We start from the raw sequence: 27,778 nt of genomic DNA on the forward strand, positions 1-27,778 counted from the left end.
CTATCCAAAATATCCACAGGTCCATGAGGGCAGGATAAGCCTTGGAGCAAGCATGACTGATACTGGTGTCCAACGTTATGGGGTAGGCCTTCATCATCTCTTCCCAAAAAGGCCCTGAGGCCTGGATGCCCCAGTGGCCTCAACTGTGGGAAGAAGAAAAAGGCAGACACTGGGAACCAGGGACATCTGGCAGACCTGGGCTGAGCAAGACCTCCTTTTTTTTTTTTTTTTTTTTTTTTTTTTGAGTTGGGGGTTTAGCACTGTTGCTCAGGCTGGAATGCAGTGGCATGATCATAGCTTACTGCATCTTCGAACTCCTGGGCTCAAGCGACCCTCTCACCTCACCCTGCCAAGTAGCTGGGTTGACAGGCACAGGCCACCACACCAAGCTAATTTTTAATTTTCATTATCTTAGAGGTCTTGCTATGTTGCCCAGGCTGGTCTTGAAATCCTGGCCTCAAGCAATCCTGCCTCCTGAGTAGCTGGGCTTACAAGCAAAACCCAACATGTTTGGCTGACCTCCATACTTTTAACTTAAAAATCTGAGCACAGTTAAAGGGAGCTGACATCCTTTTTTAAGAGCCCTGAATTCATCTTTGCAAGCAGACAATTATCGCAGGGGGTTCAGTGACTAGAACAGACCCATTCTTGGTCTTTCATTAAGTTTGTCATTGTCTTTGCAAAAATCAAAAATCTGGTATATTTCATTTCCAAGCTTAAAATGCCTTGAAACTCTATTATGTTCTACATTTTAAAAAGTCAGAGAGAGGGTAACTGCATCTAATTTGCAATGCATGCCTAGTCACAATGTTAACTCACAGGACTTGTGTTAATATTATTATATACTTCAAAGTGAATCTTGTGTATTCTACAGAATTAACTAGAGTTGTTTGGGGGCCTGTTAACAAGTTGCTGAAATGCAGAAGCTTTTGGATTTGTTGAGCAGTCATAGCCTATTACAAGTTGTGTCAAGACAATTTCAGGGACAGGCCAACGAGAATCGCTGTTCTTGGTGGAGCCTTAGGCACTGCTTTCAGATTTCATTAAGAATGACATATGCAGGGATTTCAGATAACTATTATAGGTGGGATCCAGTTTAAGAAATACTGGTTGTGAAAGGCAGCCTTAGAACAGGTCTAAATTAGCAGGAATGAAGAGTTTTCTATTACTCAACAACTCTCGTTCATTCATTCAACAAATGTTTCCTGAGCCTTGCCATGAATCCCCATGGTATTCCAGGAATACTCTGAGTAAGACACATCCTTGCCCTGAAGGTGCTGACACCTTGGAGGTAGATATTAATAATTAGCTACATCCAGAAGTGATCTGTAAAAACAAGATACTATGTACACTAAAATGGTGGAGACACTATTTCCAGCAAGAAATTCAAGGAGAGTTCCACAAGGAAGGTAGTTCCTAGGTAAGACTCAAAGATAGCAGGATTTTAACCATTAGTGGTTGCAAGTAGGAAAGATGAACAATGCTTAACAGAATGAGGATAGCAAGCTACAAGGAATGCGCTGGACATGGCAGTTATTTCTCAATAGGCACACGTTTGGCATTTTAGATGGGACTAGTCTTACTTACGAAATATTGCTCTCCAAATTTCAGGACATTTGGCATGGCTGGCCTCTCCTGCTAAGTACCTGTAACACCCCACTGCAACAATAAAAAACACCCTGGCACATTATTAAATGGCACTTAAGAGGAGTTACAAGCCCCAGTTTTAAGATGCAGTGTGTGAAATATGTAATGTATCATCGGCACCTGCGTGTGAACCACAATTGACTTCGTGAGACTTTACAAAATAAAAGAAAACAAAGTCTGGAAGATTTGGGTGTAAATTTAGACGATTTCCTTGTGAAGAGACTGCCCTGTGCCCTAGGTGAAAGATTCTGGAGATGGAAAAGTACAACCGAGCGGAGAGAGAGAGAGTAGAAGTAGCCTGTCGGCATGCTCTAACATTCTGGAAGACTCTGGTAATCACCCGTCTCTCATTAGAAAACATTCCCCAGTCTGTTCTCCCAACTCTCTGTAGAAACCATCTCCAGGTTTAAAATGAATGTCAAAGGGAAAGTAGGAGTCACCTTACATTTAACAGCAACTATTCCAGAACACCACCATCCCATAATATGACTTAAGGCTGTTTTCAAGGTTACTGGAGGCCAATCTTGAAAATCTCCTAAAGAAAAAATTATATGATTGGAATTGTCCAAAATTTAAAAAAATCTCTAAAGACATTAATACAGAAATTAAATATTTTGCAATAATGCCCTCTTGCTTGAAATAAAATAAAATTAGAATCTACTGGGACCTAAAGATTACAGAGCCTGTTGAGTTTGCTGTTTGCTATTTCAGACTCTTTGTTGTGGGAACGCCTATGTCTAGATGACTAAAATGGCTGGTGTGAGACACAGCTGACTCAGCTTTTTACTGACTGAGCATGTGACAGTTTGAATTGCCCACCAAATCTGATGCTCTAGGCAGAAACTCTGCCTTATCATTGCTCAGAACTCCAAATTTAATATATAAAATCAAAACAGTCAACTTGTATAAATGAAGCAATAAGGAGGAATCTTTGGTGGTAATACATCTGCAAAGTAAGACATGAGATACCCATTACTTAAGCACAGTGCTTAGCATATATTTGGAGTTTAATAAGTATTTGTTGAATAAAGGAATAAAAGACATGACTTTAGTCACATAGGAAATTTAAATTATATTATACTCAATATTTTCTCTTTATAGGACAAGACAATGTTCTATACGTTTTGTAAGGATTTCCATCCTTATAAAAAGAGCACTATTCAGTTTTTGTGCTCATAGAGTCATAGTCAGTTATCTGAAAAACATACTTACTTAGAATAGTCCATTTTCAGACAGTGCCAGATTTTTTTAAAAGCATTACTAAAATAAAGGATATGAGTTAGAAACTGGATCTAAAAAATATTTGAGAGCTGGTTTCAGGAATTTAACCCATCATAAAGCTTGAGGAAACAGGTTTTGTGTTATAGCCACTTTTTCAACTCTCCTCTCAGAAGGGACATTCCTATAGCTGGCAATCACAATTTGCTAAGCATGGTGTTCAGTGTATTCAATAGTCTCTGTAAAGCAGTGAGTTCAGTGTCTCACTATTAAGACACTGTAAACAAAGACATATGGACGTTTAACCGCAGGACCCATCACAACACTCAGAGTCCCAGAACAGCATGTCTGGATGGGCGCTCGGGAAGCATCTTCCTTTTCCAGAGAAAGAAAGAGGCACGGGGAGTGGGAGTGACTTGTCCCAGGGCACACAGTAAATTGGTAGCTGAGATGAAGCTGGAAATTAGATCTTTCAAATTCAGTCTTCTTAGAAGCTAAGAATCCAAGATGGATTATTTAGGAATGCAGATAAGACAAGTAAATGTCTCAGTAGATGCAGTAATGCCACAGTGCAGAGCGGGAGAAACACTGTATAAAGTCAACCAATGCTATTCAGACCTACAGCCCATCAGTGGGGATCAGGAAGACTCTGACCAACCTCACCTTATCTCCTAGGAATCTTTCAACCACAATAGCCTCAGGAACATGGAGAAGGACTGAGTCCAGGCAAACACATCAAGCTGGTAAAAATGATGACAACTCCTCTAACCTTTCCTGACTGCTGCAAACAGCTCACCAGGAAAATGTACAGGAGGTGGAGGAGGGACCCTGTTGGCCACATTATACCAATATCAAGGAACAAATGTCAGTCAGGCAATGGCAGATATTACCCAGAACTCTTGCTTTCCTGGAATGCTATTTTTACATCTTTCAGCAGTAAGGTCTAGCTCACAGTCTCAAGTGGCATCTCATGATTCTCATTCATTCAGTGAATATTTACAGAACACCCACTATAAGAAAAGTACCATATAAGCACTTGGAGGTACAAAATGAAGAGGCATCATGGCTGCCCAGAAGGCACACAGAGCCCAACTAAAGAAAGCAGAAAAACCAGTCACCAAAATTCTTGGAAGCATTGCACAAATACATAACAAAAGGAGTTAAGGGAGGCAGTCCACAAGAATAAGGAGTGATTGGAGGTAATAGTATGAGCAGAGGAAGGCTCGTGAAGTAATGGGTTTTGCAATTGAGAACAGTCCTCTGGCAGTCTGTGAGGATGGGCAGGAGTGAAGCAAAGCAGGATGTGAAAACCAGTGAGGGACGGGTGGAAGAAAGAGATGAGGGGCTAAGCAGCTAACAACAGAGACGAGGTACTCATGGACTGAAAATAGGGGTAAAAGTGAGATAGACTCCAGCCTAGCTGACTGGGCAGGCTTCATTGACCAAGATTGGAAATACAGGGAATAGAGGTAGCTCTGACTGGACATAAGCAGTGCCTAAGCAACTTCCAGATGGAAAGATCTATAAAGCATTTGGGCACAGAGGTCCAGAAGTAAGCAGGAGGTCTGAAGGTCAACAGGCTGGGTGGTGATTGAAGCCACTGCAGCAAATAAAACAACACAGAGAGCACATTTAGAGCAGGCTTGTCCAACCCATGGCTCAGGACAGCTTTGAATGTGGCCCAACACAAATTTGTAAACTTTCTTAAAACATTATGAGATTTTTTTTGCGATTTTTTTTTTTAGCTCGTCAGCTATCATTAGTGTTACTGTAGTTTATGTGTGGTCCAAGACAACTCTTCTTCTTCCAATGTGACCCAAGGAAACCAAAAGATTGGACACCCCCGATTTAAGGAGAAGAGGGATGGGAGGCAAGGATGAGATCTCTGGGTGGGTCAGAATTTGAAAGAAGAGCAATGGAAGGCAAGCCAGCCACAGAGAATGAAGTGGTCAGAAATAGAAGGAAAAGGAGGAGGAAGAAAAGTCACTGAATCCAAGAGGAAAAAAATAAAGTGTTGTTTTAAATAATACTTGAATAATTGTTGGTATCATATGCTCAAGAGCAGGTGAGAAAAGAACTAAAAAGGCCTACTGGCACGGTCATTAGCAAGTCATCAGTAACCTTGGCCAATGTTTCAGAGGTGCCCGTAGCCATGTGAGCGGGACGTAAATGAGATGAGAAGCCTGCGTAAACTTGCTCAAGGAGAGGAAGTGGAGTTGAGAGGAAGTCTGATTATGTATACATATAGCGGAAAATCGCATAAAATATCAGGTCTGAATTTTCAAATCATATGAGGCAAGTTATTTAATCTGTCTTATCCTTTGCTTATTTTTTTTTTTTAATGAAGAGGATAATAGTACCTACATCAAAGAGTTCCATGAAGCAATGCATGGGAAGCACTGAGCCTAGAGTCTGGTCCACTGCAGGCACTTGGTCATGTTAGTGATTAATATGACTGCCATTGTTCTTATTACAGCTAAGATATTGAGGATGCTGGCAAAAGACTGGTCTAAGGGAGAGCTGCGAAAAGAGAAGCAAAGAAGTCAGTATTGGATGGGTTGGAAAGAAAAGCAGGAAGGGACGGGGGATATGGATGAGGTAAAGAATGAGTCCCAAGAATCAGGAGTTGGAGAATTAGACGAGTAGGAGGTTCTGACTAGAAGTTTATATATTGCATTTTAATACAGAAGAGGTACCAGGTGTTAACAAAGGAATAAGAGTCGAACTGGGGAGTTGGATTGCAGTGGAGACAAAGAGAATTCATGCATTATTAAGAAACAAACATTTCTTGAGAAAATGACTCTGCTTTGTTTGGGAAGCTGGAGACACGCCTTGAACAAAGTTCAGACCCTGCCACAGAGCTCTGAGGTTAGAAGGCAGGATACCTTGTCCCCATGGGAGGTGAAAGTTGTGCAAGGCGGTGGCTGGACAGCAGGAAGGCTATTAACTCAGGGATCAAAGAGCATAAAGGCTAAAACAGCTTACAGCAAAAGGAGAACTATCAGGATGATATCTGTGGATAAAATGAATCTTAAAGTACAGGGGATGGTTTTGCACTGAGTAAAAGCATGCAAGCAGCAAGGAAGAAGTAGGAATGTGCTAACACTGCCTGTTGTCCCCCCAGCAAGGGGCAGCCAATAGCCTCCACTCCTACAGATGGCGGCAGGAAAGTCCTTGCGCGAAGAGAGGTAACCAAGTGTTCAGTTACTGAGAGGAGGTGGAGGATGTGCTCTGTGAAAAGGTTGAGTATAAAAGGCTGTGGCCCCTGTCAACATTTAATCTGTTAGACACTGGCACAAGCGTCTAGGTGCTTTCCAGGACCTATAAAACAGACTTTAAAAAAATGGCTCCAAAATATGAAAAGAAAATCACAAAAATTGCTATTGCTAAATGTTTAATTAAATGTACACAAAACGTATCGTGTGTCAACTTCATTAATCGTGAAATTTAGTGCTCATAAAAGTTTCATTACATTTAGAAAACAATTTGTATGTTAGATTTTCCCTCTTTACTAGAACCCCTGAGTAAGCACACTGGTTGTCAAGAAATTGCATTCAGTTGTAAATTAAATTAGTTTCTCAAAACCAAGGATTTAAAAAACAAAATTAAATAATTTTTTCAAGTTTTTATAATGAAAATGCATTTAATGTGGAACGTGGGTGGATGTTAATACATTTGATACAGCATTTGAGAAGCTTCCAGGAGCCTCCGAAAAGCTCTTAACTCAGTCACATGGGCAAAAGAATACCCAAAAGGAGTCACGGCAACAGAAGAAACCTTAGCTTCTCATCAAGGAGCAAATTAGACCCTTCTCGTAACTTTAACGCTGTTTCCAGCTCAGGGATTCTTAACCTGTGGGTGCCTTGGATGCCCTTAGCAGCCTGTTGAAGCCTAAAGACCCCTTTTCAAAATAACATATTTCTTTTGAAATCTCCCCCTCCTGAGAGAAGAGAATATTAAAGTGTGTAAGACACTGATAGTAGATGACAAGCTTGATTCTGGAAATTCTTTAATTTGGGATTGTAAAAGGTAATACAGTGATCTATTTGAGTTCCAGCAGTACAACTGACACAGGAAGAAAAGAGCTGACATAAGCTACTTACTCACTATGTGCCCACTTAAACTCTTTACCTATCAGGGTTTTTGTTTGTTTGTTTGTTTTACTTTAAGTTCTGGGATACATGTGCAGAACGTGCAGGTTTGTTACATAGGTATACCTGTGCCGTGGTGTTCTGCTGCACCCATCAACCCTTCGTGTAGGTTTTAAGCCCAGCATGCATTAGGTGTTTGTCCTAATGCTCTCCCTCCCTTTGCCTCCCACCCGCCGACAGGCCCCGGTGTATGATATTCCCTCCCTGTGTCCACATGTTCTCATTATTCAGCTCCCACTTATGAGTGAGAACATGCGGTGTTTGGTTGTCTGTTCCTGTGTTAGTTTGCTGACAATGATGGTTTCCAGCTTCATCCATGTCCCTGAAAAGACATGAACTCATTCTTTTTATGGCTGTTTAGTATTCCATGGTGTATATGTTGCCACATTTTCTTTATCCAGTCTACCATTGATGGGCGTTTGGGTTGGTTCCAAGTCTTTGCTATTGTAAATAGTGCTGCAATAAACATTCATGTGCATGTGTCTTTAGAGTAGAATGATTTATAATCCTTTGGGTATACACCCAGTAATGGCATTGCTGGGTCAAATGGTATTTCTGGTATTTCTTGAGGAATTGCCACACTGTCTTCCACAATGGTTGAACTAATTTACACTCCCACCAACATACAAAAGTGTTCCTATTTCTCCAAATCTTCTCCAGCATCTGTTGCTTCCTGCCTTTTTAATGATTGCCATTCTAACTGACATGAGATGGTATCTCATTGTGGTTTTGATTTGCACAAAATAACATTTTTAAATGCATAAAGCAAAACGCACAGGGTCACGATCTATTGAAATGCAACCATCAAAATATGTAATGCTTGTGTGATAAAAGATACAATAACAATATGCTTCTTTATAAAATAACAAAATCTAGTTTCAATTCATAGTAGTGATATTTTAAGATATCTTCAACAACAGTAATGTGATTTTAAAATATCGGTTTTTATTGGTGTCAGAAACTGCTAGCATTACTGTTAGTTGTTACTCACATTTATAATTGAAAGAAATACTAACTTTCAAGAGATTGGTGCATATAAAGATGCAATTTTTCCCATCTAAGTTCACAGACCTCTAGGACTGTGCACACAGCAGTTTATGGAGCCTTGTGAAAAATCTGTGTGCTCTAACTCCTTACACATAAAACGAACGAACTGGGGGCTGGTGTTGAAGGACTGAGATGCTGCAGCAGAAATGTGTGAACTGATTTTATAGGAACCTCAAATTCAAAGGTGTTCCCTCCAATTTTCATTTCCTCCCTCTAATCTACTTTATACATTCTTGAAGAATCTATTTCAGTGGGTGTTACCTCCTTTAGCAAAAATTCATTTGAACAGCACTAACCTTTGATAAATGCGCACACACACACACACACACACACACACACGCACACACAGCTATCTCAAAGTTAGAAGACAATTTCACAAACTTGGAAATAAACACAAAGAATAAAATGTAAAAGTCAATAATTAAAGAGAAATAACAATGGAAAATTTGGAAAAGGTTGTGAAGGTTTAAAAAAGACATTGGCCGGGCATGGTGGCTCATGTCTGTAATCCTAGCACTTTGGGAGGCCGAGGAGGGTGGATCACCTGAGGTCAGGAGTCCAAGACTAGCCCTGCTAACATGGCGAAACTCCATCTCTACTAAAAAAATACAAAGATTAGCCAGGCGTGGTGGCATGCACCTATAATCCAAGCTACTGGGGAGGCTGAGGTAGGAGAATCGCTTGAACCTAGGGGGCAGAGGTTGCAGTGAGCCTAAATTGCGCTACTTCACTCCAGTCTGGACGAAAGAGCGGAAGTCTGTCTCAAAAAAAAAAAAAAAGACATAAACGTAGGAAACGATGATCTTGCTAGTGATTAAATCTGTATTAATGAAAGAAATTGCATTTTTGCCTATCAAATTTATAAAGATTAAAAAGATTGGTAATATCCAGTATTATTATATTAACAATATCATTTGTGAAGATGAGGTAAAGTGGAGACTTTCATATATCGGTGCTGGGAATATCAATGACTCCCATCTTTCTGCAGGGCAGCAAGGGCAGCCTGGCTACACAGCTCAAAGGCTGTGAAATGTGCATTGCATTGAATTGTGGCAATGACAAGTGTCGGACTGTCTCTAGGTAAGTTCCTGTACCAGTGGACAAAAATAATAGCGAAAAGTTGGAAACAACATAAATTTTCAATTGTAAGAGATTGGTTAAATATATTAGAAAATATCCATCAATATAACACCAAACAAGAAAGCATTAAAAATAAAACATATGTATTGAAATAGAAATCTGACTAAACTATTTTAGTATATAAAAAGTAGAATACCCAGGTATGATGGCTTACGCCTGTAATCCCAATACTTTGAGAGGCTGAGGCGGGCAGATCACTTGAGGCCAGGAGTTTGAGACCAGCCTGGACAACATGGCAAAACTCTGTCTCTACTAAAAATACAAAAAAAAACAAAAAACAAAAAACCAAGCTGGGTGTGGTTGCACCTGACTGTAGTCCCCAGCTACTCAAGAGGCTAAGGTGGGATCTCAGGAGGTAGAGGTTGCAGTGAGCCGTGATCATACCACCGCACTCCAGCCTGGGTGACAGAGTGAGACCCTGTCTCGAAAAAAAAGTAGAATACAGAATATTACTGATAATGTAACCCCAATTCTGCCTAAAAAACCATATATATATAATATGGAAATATAGTTTCTATGTGTGGTTTATATATATAAATATATATCACTTGTATATAAATATATGTGTATAAATATATATATATATTTGCAGATATATAAAAGTAAAGAAATCTGAAAGGATCAATCTATATCCCACTGTTAACAGTGATGTGTCTTAGGAGAGGGATTTTAATTTTCAACTAAAATAAATAAACAATATTTAAAAAACAATAATTGGGGGCCAGTGTTGAAGGACTGAGATGCTGCAGCAGAAATGTACAAACTGATTTTATAGGGACCTCAAATTCAAAGGTGCCTCCCTCCAATTTTCATTTCCTCCCTCTAATCTACTTCATACATTCTTGAAGAATCTATTTCAGTGGGTGTTATCTCCTTTAGCAAAAATTCATGTGAACAGCAACAACCTTTGATAAATGTGCACGCATGCACACACACACACACACACACACACACACACACACACACACACAAACAGCCGTCTCAAAGTTAGAAGACAATTTCACAAACTGGGGAAAAAGCACAAAGAATAAAATGTAGAAGTCAATAATTAAGGAGAAATAACAATGGAAAATTTGGAAAAGGTTGTGAAAGCTTAAAAAAGACATTGTCCCAGCACGGTGGCTAATGCCTGTAATCCTAGCACTTTGGGAGGCTGAGGCAAGTGGGTCACCTGAGGTCAGGAGTTCAAGACCAGCCTGGCCAACATGGTGAAACCCCATCTCTACTAAAAAAAAAAATACAAAAATTATCCAGGCATGGTGGCAGGCACCTATAATCCCAGCTACAATATTAAGAAACAATCATTGTACATCATTTTGTAATCAGAAAAGAAAATAAATACATTTATTTATTTTCTGTGTTGGCCAAAGGCTGACCTCTCTGAAAGAAGCCTTTGAATAATTGAGGTCTTTCCCTACTCAGGAAGAATTTAGGGCTTTAAAACATTTATTTGATTGCATCGTTTCAGTGAACACCTGAGAGCAGTGACCTGGGATGACAGCTGAACAGGGAGCTTCCTTCCTGATTATTCTCTAATGGACTCAAGAAATCGGGAGGAGCCCCAGACAGCGGATTGGAGGTTCTCCTGCCTGAGTTGTCCACCAAACACTTCCCCAGGGCCAGGATGTCAGCTTCGCAAGGGACGTTCTGCACTGACAGAGGTCTGGCTAAAACCCAGGGGCTGTTCTCTCATTCGGTCCTTCATTTATTCATCCTACACTCACTGAGTGCCTACAACGCACAAGGACTTGAAGCATGAGTGACGCAGGAGGACCACAGCGGACTAATAGAATCCCATTGGTCCTGGCTCCTCACAGAGAGTTGGAAGCCCTGGGTACACAGGACACACACATACACCGCAAAACAGAATTGGGATAGCGGCATGGGCAGGGAGCGGCCGATTCCGGCGTGAAGCCACAGATCATGGTGGTCATGGGGACTGGGGCACGGGGAAGGAGCGGCCGATTCTGGAGCCACAGATCATGGTGGTAATGGGGACAGGGGCACGGAGAAGGAGCGGCTGATTCTGGCTGTGGAGCCACAGATCACGGTGGCCTTCGTGGTACAGGTGCTGTTTGAGCAGATCCGTGAGTGAGGAATGGGCTTCTCCAGAAAAAGGAAGAGGAGAGCATATGTCCATTTCTGGAAGGGTGAACAGCTTTGAAAAAATATGGCTAGAATGAATGCTCCCAGGAGCAAGGAGTATCAGGTTTGACATGATTATGGTTCACCTCAGTGAATGCCCAGCACTGAGCCCAGAAAGATAGAGACTAGAATGAGATAACACAGGCCTGTGAAGGGCCTCTTTATGACAAGTCCCCTCCGTGGGACCTTGGATTCTCCAACCCTACCTGTTAAGATGTTTCTTCCTCCTGGGAAGCAGAAGAGACTGCTTCACAGATCATGACTACTGTCTTGGATTCTTAATCCAGATGAATCCAGGGAGTCCGTGTCCCTAGCCAGCAGAAGTCAAAGGCCAGTCTGCTCCTGCTAGGGGTGAAGATGGGGTAGGGAGATGGAGCCGAGGCCAGGTGGCAAGACACATCTGCAGGTGTCCAGCTGGCTTAGTCATCACGCTGGCTTCCTTTTATATTTCTAGAAAATATTAGGAACACCCTGCTCTTCAGCATCTTAAATAAGGGCATCTTAAATAAATATTAAGAAATGTGATAATATTTACCCAAGGGCTCACCATTTCTGTCCTAAGCAAAAGAATACATCAAGCTGAAGCCTTCACTCCACTTCCAGCACCCTCCTCACTGCAGCCTCCTGGAGCTGCTCAGCCGTAACCCACAGAGTTCCTCCCCATTGAATGATTAAGCAACACCCACCCCAGGTATTAGGTTCTTTTGGGTAGTTTGAGACTTGCATCTTCACAAAGAGGCATAAAATGATAGACCCCCACCTTCGGCTAGGAATGAAGAAAGAGTAAAATGTTTTAGCTGGTCTCTTCTCTTGCTATCCTGCAATTTTCAACTAATGTCAAACAAAAATAACAAGTAAGGCAGGCAAGCTCTAGTTCGGCAGCCCTTAGAAGGACAATAGGTGCTTTGAGAAATTTAGGCTTTAGGAGAAAATGCACCAGCAAAGATGTATAGAGAGGATGGGCCCAAGTTCAGATCCTTACATAAGAAAGGCAATTCTGTTAGCACAATTTCTAGGCTGAATAGAAGAAAACAGACTTGGAACAAGGGTCAGGAGGCAGAGGCATGAAGCCAAGGGGGAGTTGATAAAAGCGTGATCTCACTCTGAAACCACAGGAAGGGACAAAGATGAAGCCAGCAGTGGCAGGCAGGGCCGACTCACAGCATCCGGATGTGGTGAGCTAGCAGGTCAAATATAATTCAATCGTTTCTAGCCTGGGTGAAGGGAAGAAGGGAAGAAGTTGGTGTTATTAATCAAATTCTAAAAGGAAATTTAAAAGAGGAAGCAGGTTTGGAGAGAAAGGAAAGATAAGTCCTCTGAGGTGTGATTACTCTAGACTGAAAGCACCCCAAAGTCTACAATTGTGTGACCCTAGGGTTCTATTTCGAAGGTATTTAAAAGCAAACTACAAGCAAGTAATTCAAGTAAAAGAGGCAGGTTCAGAACATCCTCCCCACACTCAGAAAACTGCATTTTCCAGAACAGAGACAGTTTTATTGTTGTTTCAGGTGTAGTTCTCTGAGCAAAACAATAGACTTAGGCTTATCAATCCTTTACACCTTAGTATAAATGAGTTTACAAGGTCCTTTCCCAAGCCAAGGATCTGGAAATAGGGTGAAGATCCTGTTAGAAATTCAAGCACGATGGCTCTGAGAGAGAATAAGTGCCGAAAGAGGACGGCAGATGGCACATTCCTTAACTTAGGACAATGTTCAGAGCCAGATCTGCCAGGCAATATTCCCCCATTTCCAGCCAGAGGATGGATTTCTCCTACGCCTATCTCTAAGATCATCAAAATCACTGTGAAGGTAAGAAAATAGGGACATTTGGTGTTTTATATTGCTCATCACTCAATTCCTCTCTTGAGGAAACAAAAATGGTCCACTCAATATATATGTTATTGAACATACAGTAATAAAATGCACATGATTTTTATTTCATCCTCTAGAACTAATTTGTTAGTACTCAGCTAAGCATCCCTTAGCTTCCCTGACACAACACACTCCTAGTTTTCCTCCTACCTGCCTGTTTCTTCCAGATCTCCTTGGTGGTCTCACCATCTTCGCAGCCAGTAGGTTTCCCGGCTCACTTTTCTTCTCTCCTCAAGCTTTCTTGGTAGACGTTCTCAACTGCAGAGCTCACACACAAATTTAACTCTTCCACCCAAATCTCTCCTCTGAGCTCCGCAGAGGAACTGCCACTCCTGGTTAACATCTCTTTCTTTCTTCCCACCTTCCTTCCCTCCTTCCCTCCTTCCCTCCCTCCCTCCCTCCCTCCCTCCCTCCCTCCCTCCCTCCCTTCCTTCCTTTCTTTCTTTCTTTTCTTTCTTTCTCCCTTCCTTTCCTTTCCTTTCCTTTCCTTTCCTTTCCTTTCCTTTCCTTTCCTTCCCTTTCTTTCCTTTCTTTCTCTTTTTTTTTTGACAGTCTCGCTCTCTTGCCGAGGCTGGAGTGCAATGGCGCAATCTCAACTCACTGCAACCTCTGCCTCCTGGGTTCAAGCAATTCTCCTGCCTCAGCTTCCCAAGTAGTTAGGACTATAAGCGCATATCACCACACCCAGTTAATTTTTGTATTTTTAGTAGAGACAGGTTTCACCATGCTGGCCAGGCTGGTCTCAAACTCCTGACCTCTGCCCACCTTGGCCTCCCAAAGTGCTGGGATTACAGGCATGAGCCACCATGCCCGGCCCAGTTTTACTACTAATAGTGCCCTTTCACTTTTAGAAGTGTCATGTTTGGATGATAAATGATATTGTCACTCCTTCCCTAAAAACCGCACATGGTCTGGCTCCTACCATATTGGTCATGCTAGCCTTTTCTATGACGACATCCTGCTTTGTTCTGCACTAGCCTCACTTGCCTTCTTTCCGTTTCTCCCCAAACTTTCATAATGCTGTCCCTCTTCCTGGAATGCTCTTCCTTAACCTTCTTACCCAGTAAAAGCCTGTGCACCCTTCAGATGCCACTCAGAATCACTGCTGCAGAAAAATTCCCTCATTCCGAGGCTGGTGATCTCTCCCCACGTGCTCTCCCAGGGACCGTGACCCTTCATCCATAGCACTTATGAGAGCTGCCACTTTCAATGGAGGGCAGGGACCCTTCCCGGCTGTGCTCACTACTTATGCTATGCCAGAATACGCACGAAACTTGGATTAATGGTTTATAAAAATGGATAATGATTTCATGATAAAATAAAAGAATTACTTGAAATTATCAACAATCCACTGATCCGTTTGGTTTATTAAATCATGGTATTGGTTTCCAAGGAGCTTTTAAATCACATGCTATTAAAATTAGAAAGGAACAATTGATCATTTATTGCAGAGGAGGAAATAATGCAGGGAAGTTACATGACTCGCCCATGATCTCCCAGCCTTTCTGGAAGTCCAAGTGAAATGCACACAGGAGTATAGATTTCTATTTTATTTCTAGGTGGCAAGACTCCATTGAAAAGCCATATAAACCCTTCCAGGCTCAGATATTCCTTGGTTATGATTCGGTTTTACTTTTCCCTCGATAGCACTCTATTTCTTCCCTTTCTCCCTCCCTTCTTTCTCTTTCCCCTTTTTTTTGCATCATCAGCCATGATAGCAGAAAACTCATGCCCAGGAGTATGTCATAAAGCATACAGAAAAAAAAACAACACATAAAAATGCAAAGTATGTATGGTAAGAGAGGTGGGAGGAGGGACACACTGAAGATCCCTAATTCTTGGTGTTCAAGACATTGCAGGCCACAATTCCATCTTGAATTTTTTCATCCCCCATTACAGTAAGGGATATAATAGATAATGAGAGACCAAACAAACTAATTTGTTAATTCTAGGATGTGACATCATGACCATTCATTTCTGGGGTTGCTAATGCCAACCAGTGACCTTCTAGGATTACATACAGATGAAATGTGAAGAGGAAATTTAATAAGAAAAGGTCAATCATCACTCAATGTACCAATGAAACAAGATTTTTTTCTTTTACAATAAAATATCAAAAATTTTAAACGACCAACATTGTGTCTTATGATACATACTCAGTGCTTATAGACAAAGCTATAATGACTATCTAAAATTATATGGAGGATAATATTTGCTGAGCTCTGGAGTATTTAAAGTCATAAACACTCTTTTAAAGGTCAGCTGTAAAACCGAGATAATAACTTTGAAGGAAAATGCCTTTTTCCATCAGGAATTCACAATAAAAATAATCTTTTCCACATGATTTTTCTTTTAACTATGCTTGGCACAAAGACAAAACTAATAGATGAATTATACGTGATTACAAAACTATTTTGCTATACGGAGTCACAGATCAAAAGGAATGGTTCCTGTTGCAGGCAGGTAATGGCCTTGTACCATGTTCAGTCACATATGCTGCTGTAGAGCATTTCAATGGGGCTTTGAGAATGACATGCTCAAATAGCTGCATTTTTAATATCTATTAAAGTCACTGTGCCATGACTGAATAACACCACCCATAAGCAGAAAGGAGGGGAATACAACCAGCTGCTCCATGCACACAGTTCAGGGCTGTGTGTGCTGTCATCTAGAGCTGTTCAAAATATCTTAACTCTCTTCTGGCTAGACTTAAATATTGGGGCTGGATCACAGCCAAGTAATGACAAGTTGTGTTCCTCCAAGCAAAGCCCCAATGTGCAAATGCCAACACCATATTTTTTTACTCTTTGTATTCGTTTAGCTTCTTTAAAACAAGAATGGTATTGAACACAGTAATATTTTCTCTCTGTTTTTCTAATTCATTGACAATTACTTAGGGCTTTTATTTTTTTTTAAGAAATGCATCTCTAAGCAGAACTTGATCTTGGAATACAGACCCACTAGCTCATTCTAATCAGTCTTTTTTTGTTGATTTCTCTTACTCCCTATCAGATATGGTTTGGTTGTGTCCCCATCTAAATCTCAACTTGAACTGTGGCTCCCACAATTCCCATGCATTGTGGGAGGGACCCAGTGGGAGATAATAATTATGGAGGCTGTTTCCCCAGTGCTGTTCTTGTGGAAGCGCATAAGTCTCATGAGATCTGATGCTTTTATAAGGGGTAACCCCTTTCACTTGATTCTCACTGTCTCTTGTCTGCCACCATGTAAGACGTGCCCTTCATCTTCTACCATGATTGTGAGGCCTCCCCAGCCATATAGAACTGTGAGTCCATTAAACCTCTTCCCTTTATAAATTACCCAGTCTTGGGTATGTCTTTATTAGCAGCATGAGAACAGACTAATACACTATCAAATATCCAATCAGAAAGAGGTTCAGGATCATCTGGTCCACTGGAAAGGAGAAGGAGGTAATAGTTAATGAGCACCTGTCTCTCACCACATCCTGTACTCCTTGCTTTAAGCTTAGATTATCATATTTATTCTTTAAAATTTTTAGATGAAGAAACTAAACCTAATAAAAATTAAGGAAATTGACTGAGGTCATTCAGCTAGCAGGAACTGGAGGCCCAACTTGACCCCAGGGGAGTTTTCAAAGCCTATGACCTCTCTTTTACATGATGCTGAATTAGTGGCATCACATTATCTGACCCCTCAGATTTTCAACAAGTCTGCAAGCCACCAACTCTCAGCAGGCACCTGGGAAAAAAGAACAAAGTTAGGATGACCCTGTGAACACTGTTCCACCCACTGCAGGCTTTGAGGGGAAGAATTCCTTGAGCTACTCTCACAAAAAATGTTCTACAGGAACCTGGGACTACTAAGGTCACTTATGCATGAAATGGTTGAGGCAGGAGTGAGTGAAAGTTATGTTCTTAAAAATAAAGAAATGCAATGCATCAAAGGCGGCCACAGGGAGGTGACAAGATAAAAAAGGTGCTAGATTTAGGTGACCTCACTTTTGATCTTATCTCTACTTCCACTGCCCTCTGCCCCTTCCTTAGATCATTTGCAAAATGCACACAGCAATGCTTACATGATAGAATTTTCTGAAAATTATGTAAGATAATATATGCAGATTTCCCAATGCAGCCTGTGACACAGGGCAGGTGCACAGTAGGGGTTTGCCAGACGTAAGTCCAAAAAGACAATTTACTGCAAATTAGTAGAACTCAGTACATCACTCCTATTTTTAAATGTATTTTCTGCAAGGTTTTCTGGTGTTGATCAGGAGACATTCATCATTGTCTCAGCATGACCTGCACCAAATCCAGGTCACATGAAGTTATAAATGTATCTTGTATTTTAATGTCACAACCCTTGGCTGATTCTAAGGCAAAAAGAAAAAATATATATATATATTCTTAATACATGAACCTAAACAAAGCCAAACAGTCACAAGCCAGAATGTAGTGAAGGAAACAGACTTCTTCGTTCTGCAAGAATAATATTTTAGGCATGGGGAATGCCCAGAGGTTACTAAAGAGAAGCAGAATGGTCACAGGGGGTCACCTAATAGGAAGACAGCAAGCGTGATTTATGAGAGCCATATGAGAGTGAAGACTCACGGTGCTATGTAGGACAAAGGAAGGCAAAGAGGCGAGATCCTCCCAGATCCCTCCCTGTATCCCAGCAAGAGATGAAGACAAATGGACCCAGACATAGAAGGAAAGGAATTTTATTAAAAGCGAATGATACAAATTTTCAGGAAAGAGTTGAGATTCATGAGAAAAATAAACTTATGTTTTGTGGGACTCTAGCATGTTAACCAAAGAAATCCATCTATCAGGGGAAAAATGGGGTCAGGAAAGATATACTGGAGAATCAGACACCTGAAAAAAAGAAACAGAGCAGAAAGGAAAGAGAATACTGAAGAACCCAGCTGCCACACCCAGGTGGGCCATCAGACCATGTCTGGAGATTCCTGGCCACCCCAGTGGGGCCCCCCAAAAACAAACACCAGCATTGGAAATTAACCTTGCAGAACTGAAGTTAGAGAGCGATTGTGATATAAAATAATCACTCTCTTTTGCAGTCTGTTGCCACCAGAATTCTTTTATTCAAACTACCCTAAACAAAAATAGATTTGGGCTCATTTTCAAGGGCCCATTTAGTGTGTCAAAGGAAAGACACTGCTAAAGGATGTGGTGTATAATCTTCCATGACAAAGGGTCATGCAATATGTATGATCAATCCTTTCACCCCTGAGGCACAGCCATAATGTCTTCCAGATAAGAACTTCCTGAGGAACACACTCCTTCTCTCTTATGGCTGAAATATGGATTGAATCTGGGAAGGACATTGACCTCTGCTAGCTGCAAATCAACTTTATTAAGCCACTCTTGCATTGCTATAAATAAATACCTGAGACTGGGTAATTTATAAGAAAACAGATTTAACTGGCTCACGGTTCTACAGGCTTTACAGGAAGCATGGTGCCAGCATCTGCTTCTGGTGAGGCCTCGGGAAGCTTCCAATCATGGCAGAAGGGGAAGTAGGTGTCTCACATGGCAGGAGTGGGAGCAAGAGATGTGGGGAGTAGGTGCCACACACTTAACAATCAGATATCATAAGAACTCACTCACTCTCATGAGGACTGCACCAAGGGGATGGTGCAGTCCTCATGATAAACCATGAATTAGATAAACCATTCTAAACCACCCACAAGAAATCCATCCCCATGATCCGATCGCCTCCCACCAGGTCCCACTTCCGACACTGGGAATTACATTTCAACCTGAGATCTGGGTGGGGCAAATAACCAAACTATAACATCAACCCCTGAACTAACGGGCCTGATGTGAAATAAGGTCAAGCTTAGGGCAGCGATGACCAAGAGAGACAGCCAGTAAGAGGGCGGTTACAGAAGAAGAGGATGACTTCGATAGGTGTATAATGAAAACCAGATGCAATTCTGTTGCTCTGTAAGACTTTCTATACAAATGACAGGTTTTAATTAAAATAATTTTTAAAATTATAATTGTTTCAAAGAAAAAGAATAGGGCAGTATTATGAAAATATGAACATCAACCCCCCCTGTGCAAAATGCTGAGGATGCAAAGATGTATAAGGGAAGACCCCTGTCCTCCTAAAGTCTAACGCTGTGATCTCTGGGTCTTCCCATCTCTGCCTTTTAAATTTAAGGAAGAACAGGGTGGACCCTCCAGGAGTTACTGAGACTGAGATCCCAAGACCACACCTGAGTTCTACCAGCTGTTTAAGTAACCCCAGTCCTCCTACTGGAAGCACATATCAGATCACTGCTGACTTCCTCATTCCCCCAGGAAGCCATCCAGACAACCTTCTGCTGCCCTACTTTGTGACACCAGGGTGCCCTCTCACTTGGCACCTATCTGGAACCCAGCCCCCTCTCCTGGCTTTGGGCATCAGCACAATTGCAGGGTGCCTCTAGCCTGTGTCCCTGTGTCCCTCTGCCACTGGGCTTGCCCTGACTTCTCCTCCTTCCCCCTACTCCTCTTGTCATCAGAGAAGGAGAAAGTCTTGGCTTAAAGGAAGCTCTGAGAACAAGAGTTTGCCCAGTCCCTTCTACCAGGCTGCCCACTACCCCCTTGGCTGGAAGCAAACTGCATCTTCATGCAACTTCACTCCTGCTCCACGTGAAGAACCTGGAATAACCTGGAGAAAGGGTTTTTCCTCACATCCTCCCTGCTTCTCAGGTCCTCCCACTCTCTGCAGTCATGGACTTAAAGATCAGCATCCCTGTGACCGCGGGACGGGACAGCAACGTTCCAATTCTCAGCCTGGAAGTCATTTGGAAACCTCCTTTGGTCTTACACTAATTATCCCATTCATCTATTTTTACCTACTCAGGTATCCTCCAAATCTATCAATGTCTCATTTTTCACTTCTGCCATCAGCCACACTGATTCAGTGGACTCTTGCAAGGCTGACACTCGACAGCTCCCCTCAGCTCTTCTTACCTGAGTCCACTCTGCATCTCCCATCACTACCTGCTTCTGTCTCCAGACACCAGCCGTGCTCATGCTGGCTGTCTTCTTCTTTTTTTTTAATTTTACTTTAAGTTCTGGGATACATATGCAGAACGTGCAGGTTTGTTACATAGGTATAAATGTGCCATAGTGGTTTGCTGCACCTATCAACCCGTCATCTAGGTTTTAAGCCCTGTATGCATTAGGTATTTGTCCTAATGCTCTCCCTCCCCTTGCCCCCCACCCCCCAACAGGCCCCGGTGTGTGGTGTGTGACTTTCCCCTCCCTGTGTCCATGTGTTCTCATTGTTCAACTCCCAATTACGAGTGAGAACATGCAGTGTTTGTTTTTCTGTTCCTGTGTTAGTTTGCTGAGAATGATGGTTTCCAGCTTCATCCATTTCCCTGCAAAGAACATGAACTCATTCTTTTTTATGACTTCCTTCTTACTCCTTCCAAAGACCATGTTCTCTCAGACCTTAGGGCCTTTGCACATCCTACTTACTCTACCTGGAATTATCACACCACACTCTTCCCCACCATCACTGCAAAACATATATCTCTGTGCTTAGTTAATCACTAATCAACTTCCAGACACAGCTCAAGCATCACGTATTCAGGAAAGCCCTTCTCTGATTCCAAAGACCTTGTGGAGTTCTTTATTCTAAGCTTTCCACTATGTTTCTTTATTTAAATATTTGTACGATTTTTAAAAATTAACATCCATTCCCCCCCACCACTATCCTTGTAAGTTCTGTAAACAGAAACTGCATCTGTTTCATTCACTGTTAAATTCCCAGCAATCAGCACACTGCCTGACTCTTGGTAGGCAAGCAATTAATATTTTCTGAATGAAAAAATAAATGATTGAAGATCACAGGATAATACAGACCTCAGGTTCTAGAGCCAAACAGTATTGAGTTTGAATCTTGGCTGTATCACCTACAAGGTGTGTAACTTTGGATAAGATTCTTGACTTAAGCTCCTTCCACATGTTTTTCACCAGAGGTGACAAAGATTCTTACTCATATTTATAAAGTTCACATGAAATTTCTATCAAGTATTTAGCATAGGGCCTGACACATTAAATAGGTTTAGGCTGGGCACAGTGGCTCACGCTTGTAATCCCAGTGTTTTGGGAGACCGAGGTGGGCAGAGATAGAGACCATCCTGGCCAACATGGTGAAACTCCATCTCTACTAAAAATACAAAAATTAGCTGGGCATGGTGGCACACGCCTGTAGTCTCAGCTACTCGGGAGGCTGAGGAAGGAGAATTGATTGAACCCGGGAGGCAGAGGCTGCAGTGCGCCGAGATCACGCCACTGCACTCCAGCCTGGCAACAGAGCAAGACTCCATCTCAAAAAAAAAAAAGAAAAAAGGTTTAACAAATGGCATGCAAACAAACAAGAGAGTATATGCAATGATATGTTAACAATAAAACAGTGGAGTTAGAGTACAGGAGGGGGCTACCAGGCTTTCCAATGATCAAAGACCCATGGCACTATCTCCACCAGGGAAAACAATTATTTCCACAGCTGTCTTTCCAATGAATCCTTCTTTCCTCTCCTCTGTATCAGATTCTAGGCATAAGTTATAACTATGATATATATCTCAGTATAAATGAGTTTCAGAAGCAGAGTCCCAAGCTAGAGAATTGGTCTCAGGCCGAGAAAATCATGTGTAGCTGAAGCAATATGCCATATGTTTCCACCAATGACGAGTTCTACTATTTTTTTTCATTTAAATTATTATTTGTGTATTTGTACCTGTATAACAAAAAATTTTTATTCCACCTGGGGGTATAGTTTGGTGAGGTGATTTGTATTGACAAGAAAGAACATATTAAATCTGGGCTGTCCTAGAAGACTCAGGAATTTGGGTTACCATAATTTGGCTTGGAGGACAGATGGCATAAAACGACCAGGTGGGCTGACTGTTGCCTGTAATCCTAGCACTTTGAGAGGCCAAGACGGGAAGAATCGTTTGAGGCCAGAGGTTCGAGACCAGCCTGGGCAACATAGTGAGACCTTGTATCAACTAAAAAATTTTTAAAAATTTAAAAATTAGCTGGTTGCCGTGATGCATGCCTGTGGTCTGCGTAATTTGGAGACTCAGGTGGGAGGATCACTTGAGATCATGAGCTATGATTATGCTATTGCATTCCATCCAGCCTGAGCAACAGAGAGTGACCCTATCTTGAAAGAAGGAAAAGAAAGAAAAGAAGGAAAGAGAGAGAAAAGAAAAGAAGAAAGAAACAGAAATAAGCTGTCCTCATTGTTTCCACATCATATGTTCACAAATTTCAAACTTTTCTCTGAAAAGAAACAAAGCCAAATAGCAACAATGCAAATGGAAACTCGGGGGTTTGAAATGATGCTTCTCTCTTAGGTGAAACTCTAACAGCCACAAACTGAAAGTCTGATAAGGAAGAGAAGAAAGGCACCTTTAGAGTTTCAATGGGCAGCAAACATCTTCTGTAAAGGGTCACAGTAAATATCTTAGGCCTTCTGGGATATACCATCCCTGTTGCAACTACTCAATTCTCCCCTTGTGGCATGAAAGCAGCTGTGGATAACATGTAAAGGGATGTGTGTGGCTGTGTTCCAATAAGATTTTCTATTTATGAATATTAATATTTGAATTTCCTGTAATTTTTTTTGAGACAGGGTCCCACTCTGTCACCCAGGCTGGAGTGCAATGGCCCGATCTCGGCTCACTGCAACCTCCGCCTCCCGGGTTCAAGCAATTCTCCCACCTCAGCCTCCCGGGAAGCTGGGACTACAGGCATGCACCACCATGCCCGGCTAATTTTTGTATTTTTTGTAGAGACAGGGTTTCTCCATGTTGTCCACTCTGGTCTCAAACACCTGGACTCAAGCAATCTGCCCGCCTTGGCCTCCCAAAATGCTGGGATTAAGGGTGCGAACCACTGCACCCAGCCTGAATTTCATGTAATTTTTATGAGCCATGATATACCCTTCTTCTTTTGATTTTTTTCAAACATTAAAAATTTTTAAAATAATTCCTAGCTTACAGACCACACAAAAACAGGCAGTGGCTGAATTTGGCCAGTGGTTATTTTCTGACTTCTGACTTGAGCCAGTGTGGCACATAAATACTAAATCGCATCTATTGATTTTCTAATTGCCCTTCAGGTCTTCCAGGTGGGAACAGCAGGCCTGTCCTAACTGGACTATAGAAGTTGCAAATTACCCTGAAGAGACCCAAATGAAGGGAACCCATACACATTGATCCTCTCCTTGGGACCTTAAACATTATTGCTTCACTCTCCTCCCACCAGGGGTACTTTGAGTGGGGGAAGATAAAAAGCATCTGGATGCTTAAAGTTATTCTCATGCCTCTGGCATACAGAGCAGACTCTCAAACATCAAGTTCTGTGTATTTGTCTTAAAAAACACAAAGAAAAGTCCAAAGTCTGTGTTCCATTCTGCCACCAGGCTTGTGGAGAAAGGTGCTCCAGGAGACTGTAGGTGCTGGCAGCCCCGGGCAGTGTAGACGAATACAGCTTCCATGGAGAAACACAGCAACACTTATCAAAATTATAAATGCACACATGTTTTCACCCAGCAATTTCATGTCTAGGAAATGTTCTTTTATATATATATATATATATATATATATATATACACACTTGTATACCTGAAAAAGAGATACACACATTTATTCATCATGGCATTCTTTGTAATAGCAAGTGATAGGAAAAACCCAAATATCCGTAAGTAGGGGACTACATAAATTATGGGATATCTTTACAATGAAATACTCAGCATCTGTTCGGGTTTATGTTTGTAAGTGTGTGTGTGTGTGTGTGTGTGTGTGTGTGTGTGTGTGTGTGTACTGGATTCTTATTATTTGTGGTAGTTCTGTTCTATAAAGTTGCTATGAACACTGAATTAGCAAATACTGAACCATTGCTCTTAAATACAAGATTAGCTTCCTGTGAGCCTCTGTCTATAACATTTTCAACTGATCAATATGTAACCTCATTTTACGTACGTTTCTGTTAAAAGACACATTATTTGATATACATTGGTGATCTGTTAGCACTGAGCTCACGGCCAGCATTAGCCGTGAAGCAATGTCACTCAGCCTGAAGCACTGTCACTCAGCACTGTCACTCAGCCTGAAGGAAGCTTATTTAATGCATGTCTTTTCTCCCTGAGGCACCTTACAGCCCTCTCGTGTTTTGGAACGCAGGGCAGCACTTCAGTGTTGCGTTTGGAGGCCATTTTAAACAGTGAAATCGACAACAAAAAGCACAGAAAGGTAACAAGCATGGCTCCAAACAGACCGTGAGAAGGACACTTGTTCATAGTATGGAAGCCGAAGCAGGAAGGCAGAGTCTTACTTGGTTTGACCTCAGCTGGAAACATGCACTTTGGGTGACTCAAACTTTTCACTACCCTGCCCATGGCTGTGAATGACTACAAATGTGTGCCAGTACTGATGGGAGGTTACAAGTAAAGTTCAATGAGTAGGCGAATCTGCTCATATGGAATCCACAAATAATGAGCATCCACTGTACACACATACACACACGCATGCACACAAACACCCTTTACCTCATGTCAAATGACCTCCAAGATGTGTAAAAATACAAAAAATTAGCCGGGCATGATGGCACGTGCCTGTAGTCCCAACTACTTGGGAGGCTGAGGCAGGAGAATCACTGGAACCTGGAGGGCGGAGGTTGCAGTAAGCCAAGATTGTGCCACTGCACTCCAGGCTGGGCAACAGAGCAAGACCCCATCTCAAAAAAAAAAAAAGAAAAAAGAAAAGGTAAAATGGTACATATACTGTACCATACTTTATGTAAAATATAGGAAAATAATATCTTTATTTATGTATCCATCAAATATCCTTGGAAGGGCAATGAATTACCTCTTGCGATGGTTAATATTGGGTGTCAACTTGATTGGATTGAAGGATGCAAAGTATTGTTCCTGGGTGTGTCTGTGAGGTGTTGCCAAAGGAGGTTAACATTTGAGTCAGTGGACTGGGAGAGGCAGACCCACCCTCAGTCTGGGTGGGCACCATCTAATCAAGGCTGCCAGTGTGGCCAGAATAAAAGCAGACAAAAGAAAATGAGAAGACTAGACTGGCTGAGTCTCCCAGCCTAGTCTTTCTCCCATGCTGGATCCTTCCTGCCCTAGAACATCAGACTCCAAGTTCTTCAGCTTTGGGACTCCTGGACCTTCGACCACAGACTGAAGGCTGCACTGTTGGCTTCTCTACTTTTGAGGTCTCGGGACTTGGACTGGCTTCTTTTTTCCTCAGCTTGCAGGCGGCCTATTGTTGGATCTCACCTTGTGATCGTGTGAGTCAATATTCCTTAATAAGCTCCTGTTTATATATACATCTATCCTATTAGTTCTGTCCCTCTAGAGAACCCTAATACTCCTCTGAACAACTGAAGGACAGAAATGGCAGGAAGACTTCATTGTATTCCCTTTCTCTTCTTGTCATGAAGCCAGTCCCTCCACAGTCACCACTCCACATCAGTCGTAAGAGAAAGTTGGTAGACTCAGTGAAATGACAATCTGTAAGGTTTTTTCATTAGTCACCATGACTCTTTTCAAATGTATGTTATCATTATCCCTTTCAAAAAATAAACAGAGCAACAATTCCTGTGTTGACGTATTAAAGAACTATGGCACGGTCATCACCAGATTTTAGTTATTAAGGACCCTTAACCATTCCTTCCCTGAATATAGATTTTCTGTAAATGACAATGTCTAATTTAAAATTCTGTCTGTGGTCTTTTCCATTTGTGTGAACAGCACACAAAAAAATTACTTATTATGAAAAAAATACTAAATAGAAAGAAGAAGAAAAGCTGAATACCTGGTGGTCTCTAGAAGGAAGCAAAGAAAAATGGATCTTGGGAATAAATAGGATTTTGACCCTTCAGAGTTGGATGGTGACAGTGCTCCCTAGCATAAGCGTGCAGCAAAGCAGAGACACAGACTTGCTAATGCCACAGAGAGAACTGTCTCTACTGGTTAAAGACAGAACAACGGAAAGGACACTAGACATTCAAAGAAAATGAAACAGAGAATCAGTAATGCTTTCTAATCACCTACTGGAGAAAAGAAACATGCATAACGCTATTGCAATCATAATTGTATTACATCAGCCCTTTGGAATGGTATCTGAGAAAAGCCAGTCTAGGCCAGGTGCAGTGGATCACGCCTGTAATCCTAGCCCTTTGGAGGCTGAGGTGGGCAGATCATGAGGTCAGGAGTTCGAGACCAGCCTGACCAACATCATCAAACCCCGTCTCTACTAAAATTACAAAAATTGGCAGGGCATGGAGGTGCGGGCCTGTAATCCCAGATACTCAGGAGGCTGAGGCAGGAGAATCACTTGAACCTGGGAGGTGGAGGTTGCAGTGAGCCGAGGCTGGGCCACTGCACGCCAGCCTAGGCAACAGAGAGAGACTCCATCTCAAAAAAAAAAAAAAAAAAAAAGGGAAAAGCCAGTCTAGAATCTATGGTTGCTAAATTCCTATATTGAAGACCTAATCCCCAGTGCGATCATATGTAAAGGTCATAAGATAGTATTACCTTTGAGAGATGACTAGCTCATGGGAGTGGAGCCCTCATGAATGGGATTAGTACCCTCACAAAAAGAGACACAAAGAGGTGATCTCTCTTGCTATCCCATATGCCACCTGAACTGCCATAAGATGTTCATCTGCAAAGCAGGATGAGAACCCTCGCCAGAAACTGAATCGGCTGACAACTTGATCTCAGACTCCCCAGAACTGTGAGAATTACCTTTCTGACGTTTAAGCCACCTAGGCTATGGGATTTTGTTATAGCAGCACAGGCCAACTAAAACAAGGGTCGACTGTCTTGGTCGCGCCCCACCCACATGACAATGTTGAACTTCAGCTGAAGTCCTGGAAAAACATGAGCTCCTGCTTCTGGAAAACAGGAATAGTTTCTTTTAAATCTCCCATCCTTTTCTGTTCCAGGAAAGAGCTTGCTGCAAAGACCAACCTTTCCCCAAAAGACATAGATAAGATGTGTGGATGATCATCTTATTTACCTATTGACAAGGCCAGACACAAACTCTCCCAATTCCCATTCTTCAGCTCATAAATAATTAACTGAACTATCTGTCCCCACTAACAAATCTGGACAAAATGCCCACTAACGCAGCCTGACCAAACTTTGGTCAGTCTTCTCTGCTTTCCCACGGTCCCTGAACTTTGTCCCACTCTTATGCTTGTGCGAGCACTGAGAGCTTATGCAAGAATGCAGACAAGACACCACTACTGCCAACAGCCTTTCCCTATAATCGACTGACTACATATGCAGAGAAACGTTCCTGTTTAGTTGCTCACTCACAGCACCTACTCCCTTGACTCTCCAACACCCAGCTCCTTCTAGCCGTGCTTTACTTCTCCAAGTGGTTGGGACATTCCCCCTATTGCAATAGACTTCCATATATGATCAGTCCTTACCTAAGTGCTGATTTTTTTCTTTTATTTGACCCTTTGGAAACATCTGTAAGTTGGCATACACTTGCTTCTGCAAATCTTTCACCTGCCCTCAGGA

General features: G+C 41.9%; 1 protein-coding gene across 7 annotated transcripts in view, besides 1 other annotated feature; it reads right to left on the reverse strand.

Annotated features, from left to right (window-relative positions):
* The window catches only part of ZMAT4 (zinc finger matrin-type 4), a 367,237-nt gene that overhangs the window by 202,030 nt on the left and 137,429 nt on the right, over positions 1-27,778 (reverse strand). The window lies entirely within an intron of this gene.
* Positions 1,825-3,024: an enhancer, noted in NCBI's record as "MED14-independent group 3 enhancer chr8:40591963-40593162 (GRCh37/hg19 assembly coordinates)". NCBI's record gives its function as "activates an origin of replication core promoter dependent on BRD2, BRD4, P300/CBP and CDK7 cofactors, and independent of MED14, by STARR-seq in HCT116 cells {active_cell/tissue: HCT116}" and the evidence as "EXISTENCE:reporter gene assay evidence [ECO:0000049][PMID:35650434]".

The sequence above is a fragment of the Homo sapiens genome, chromosome 8 (assembly GCF_000001405.40).
Source record: "Homo sapiens chromosome 8, GRCh38.p14 Primary Assembly".
In the NCBI taxonomy this organism is placed as follows: domain Eukaryota; kingdom Metazoa; phylum Chordata; class Mammalia; order Primates; family Hominidae; genus Homo; species Homo sapiens.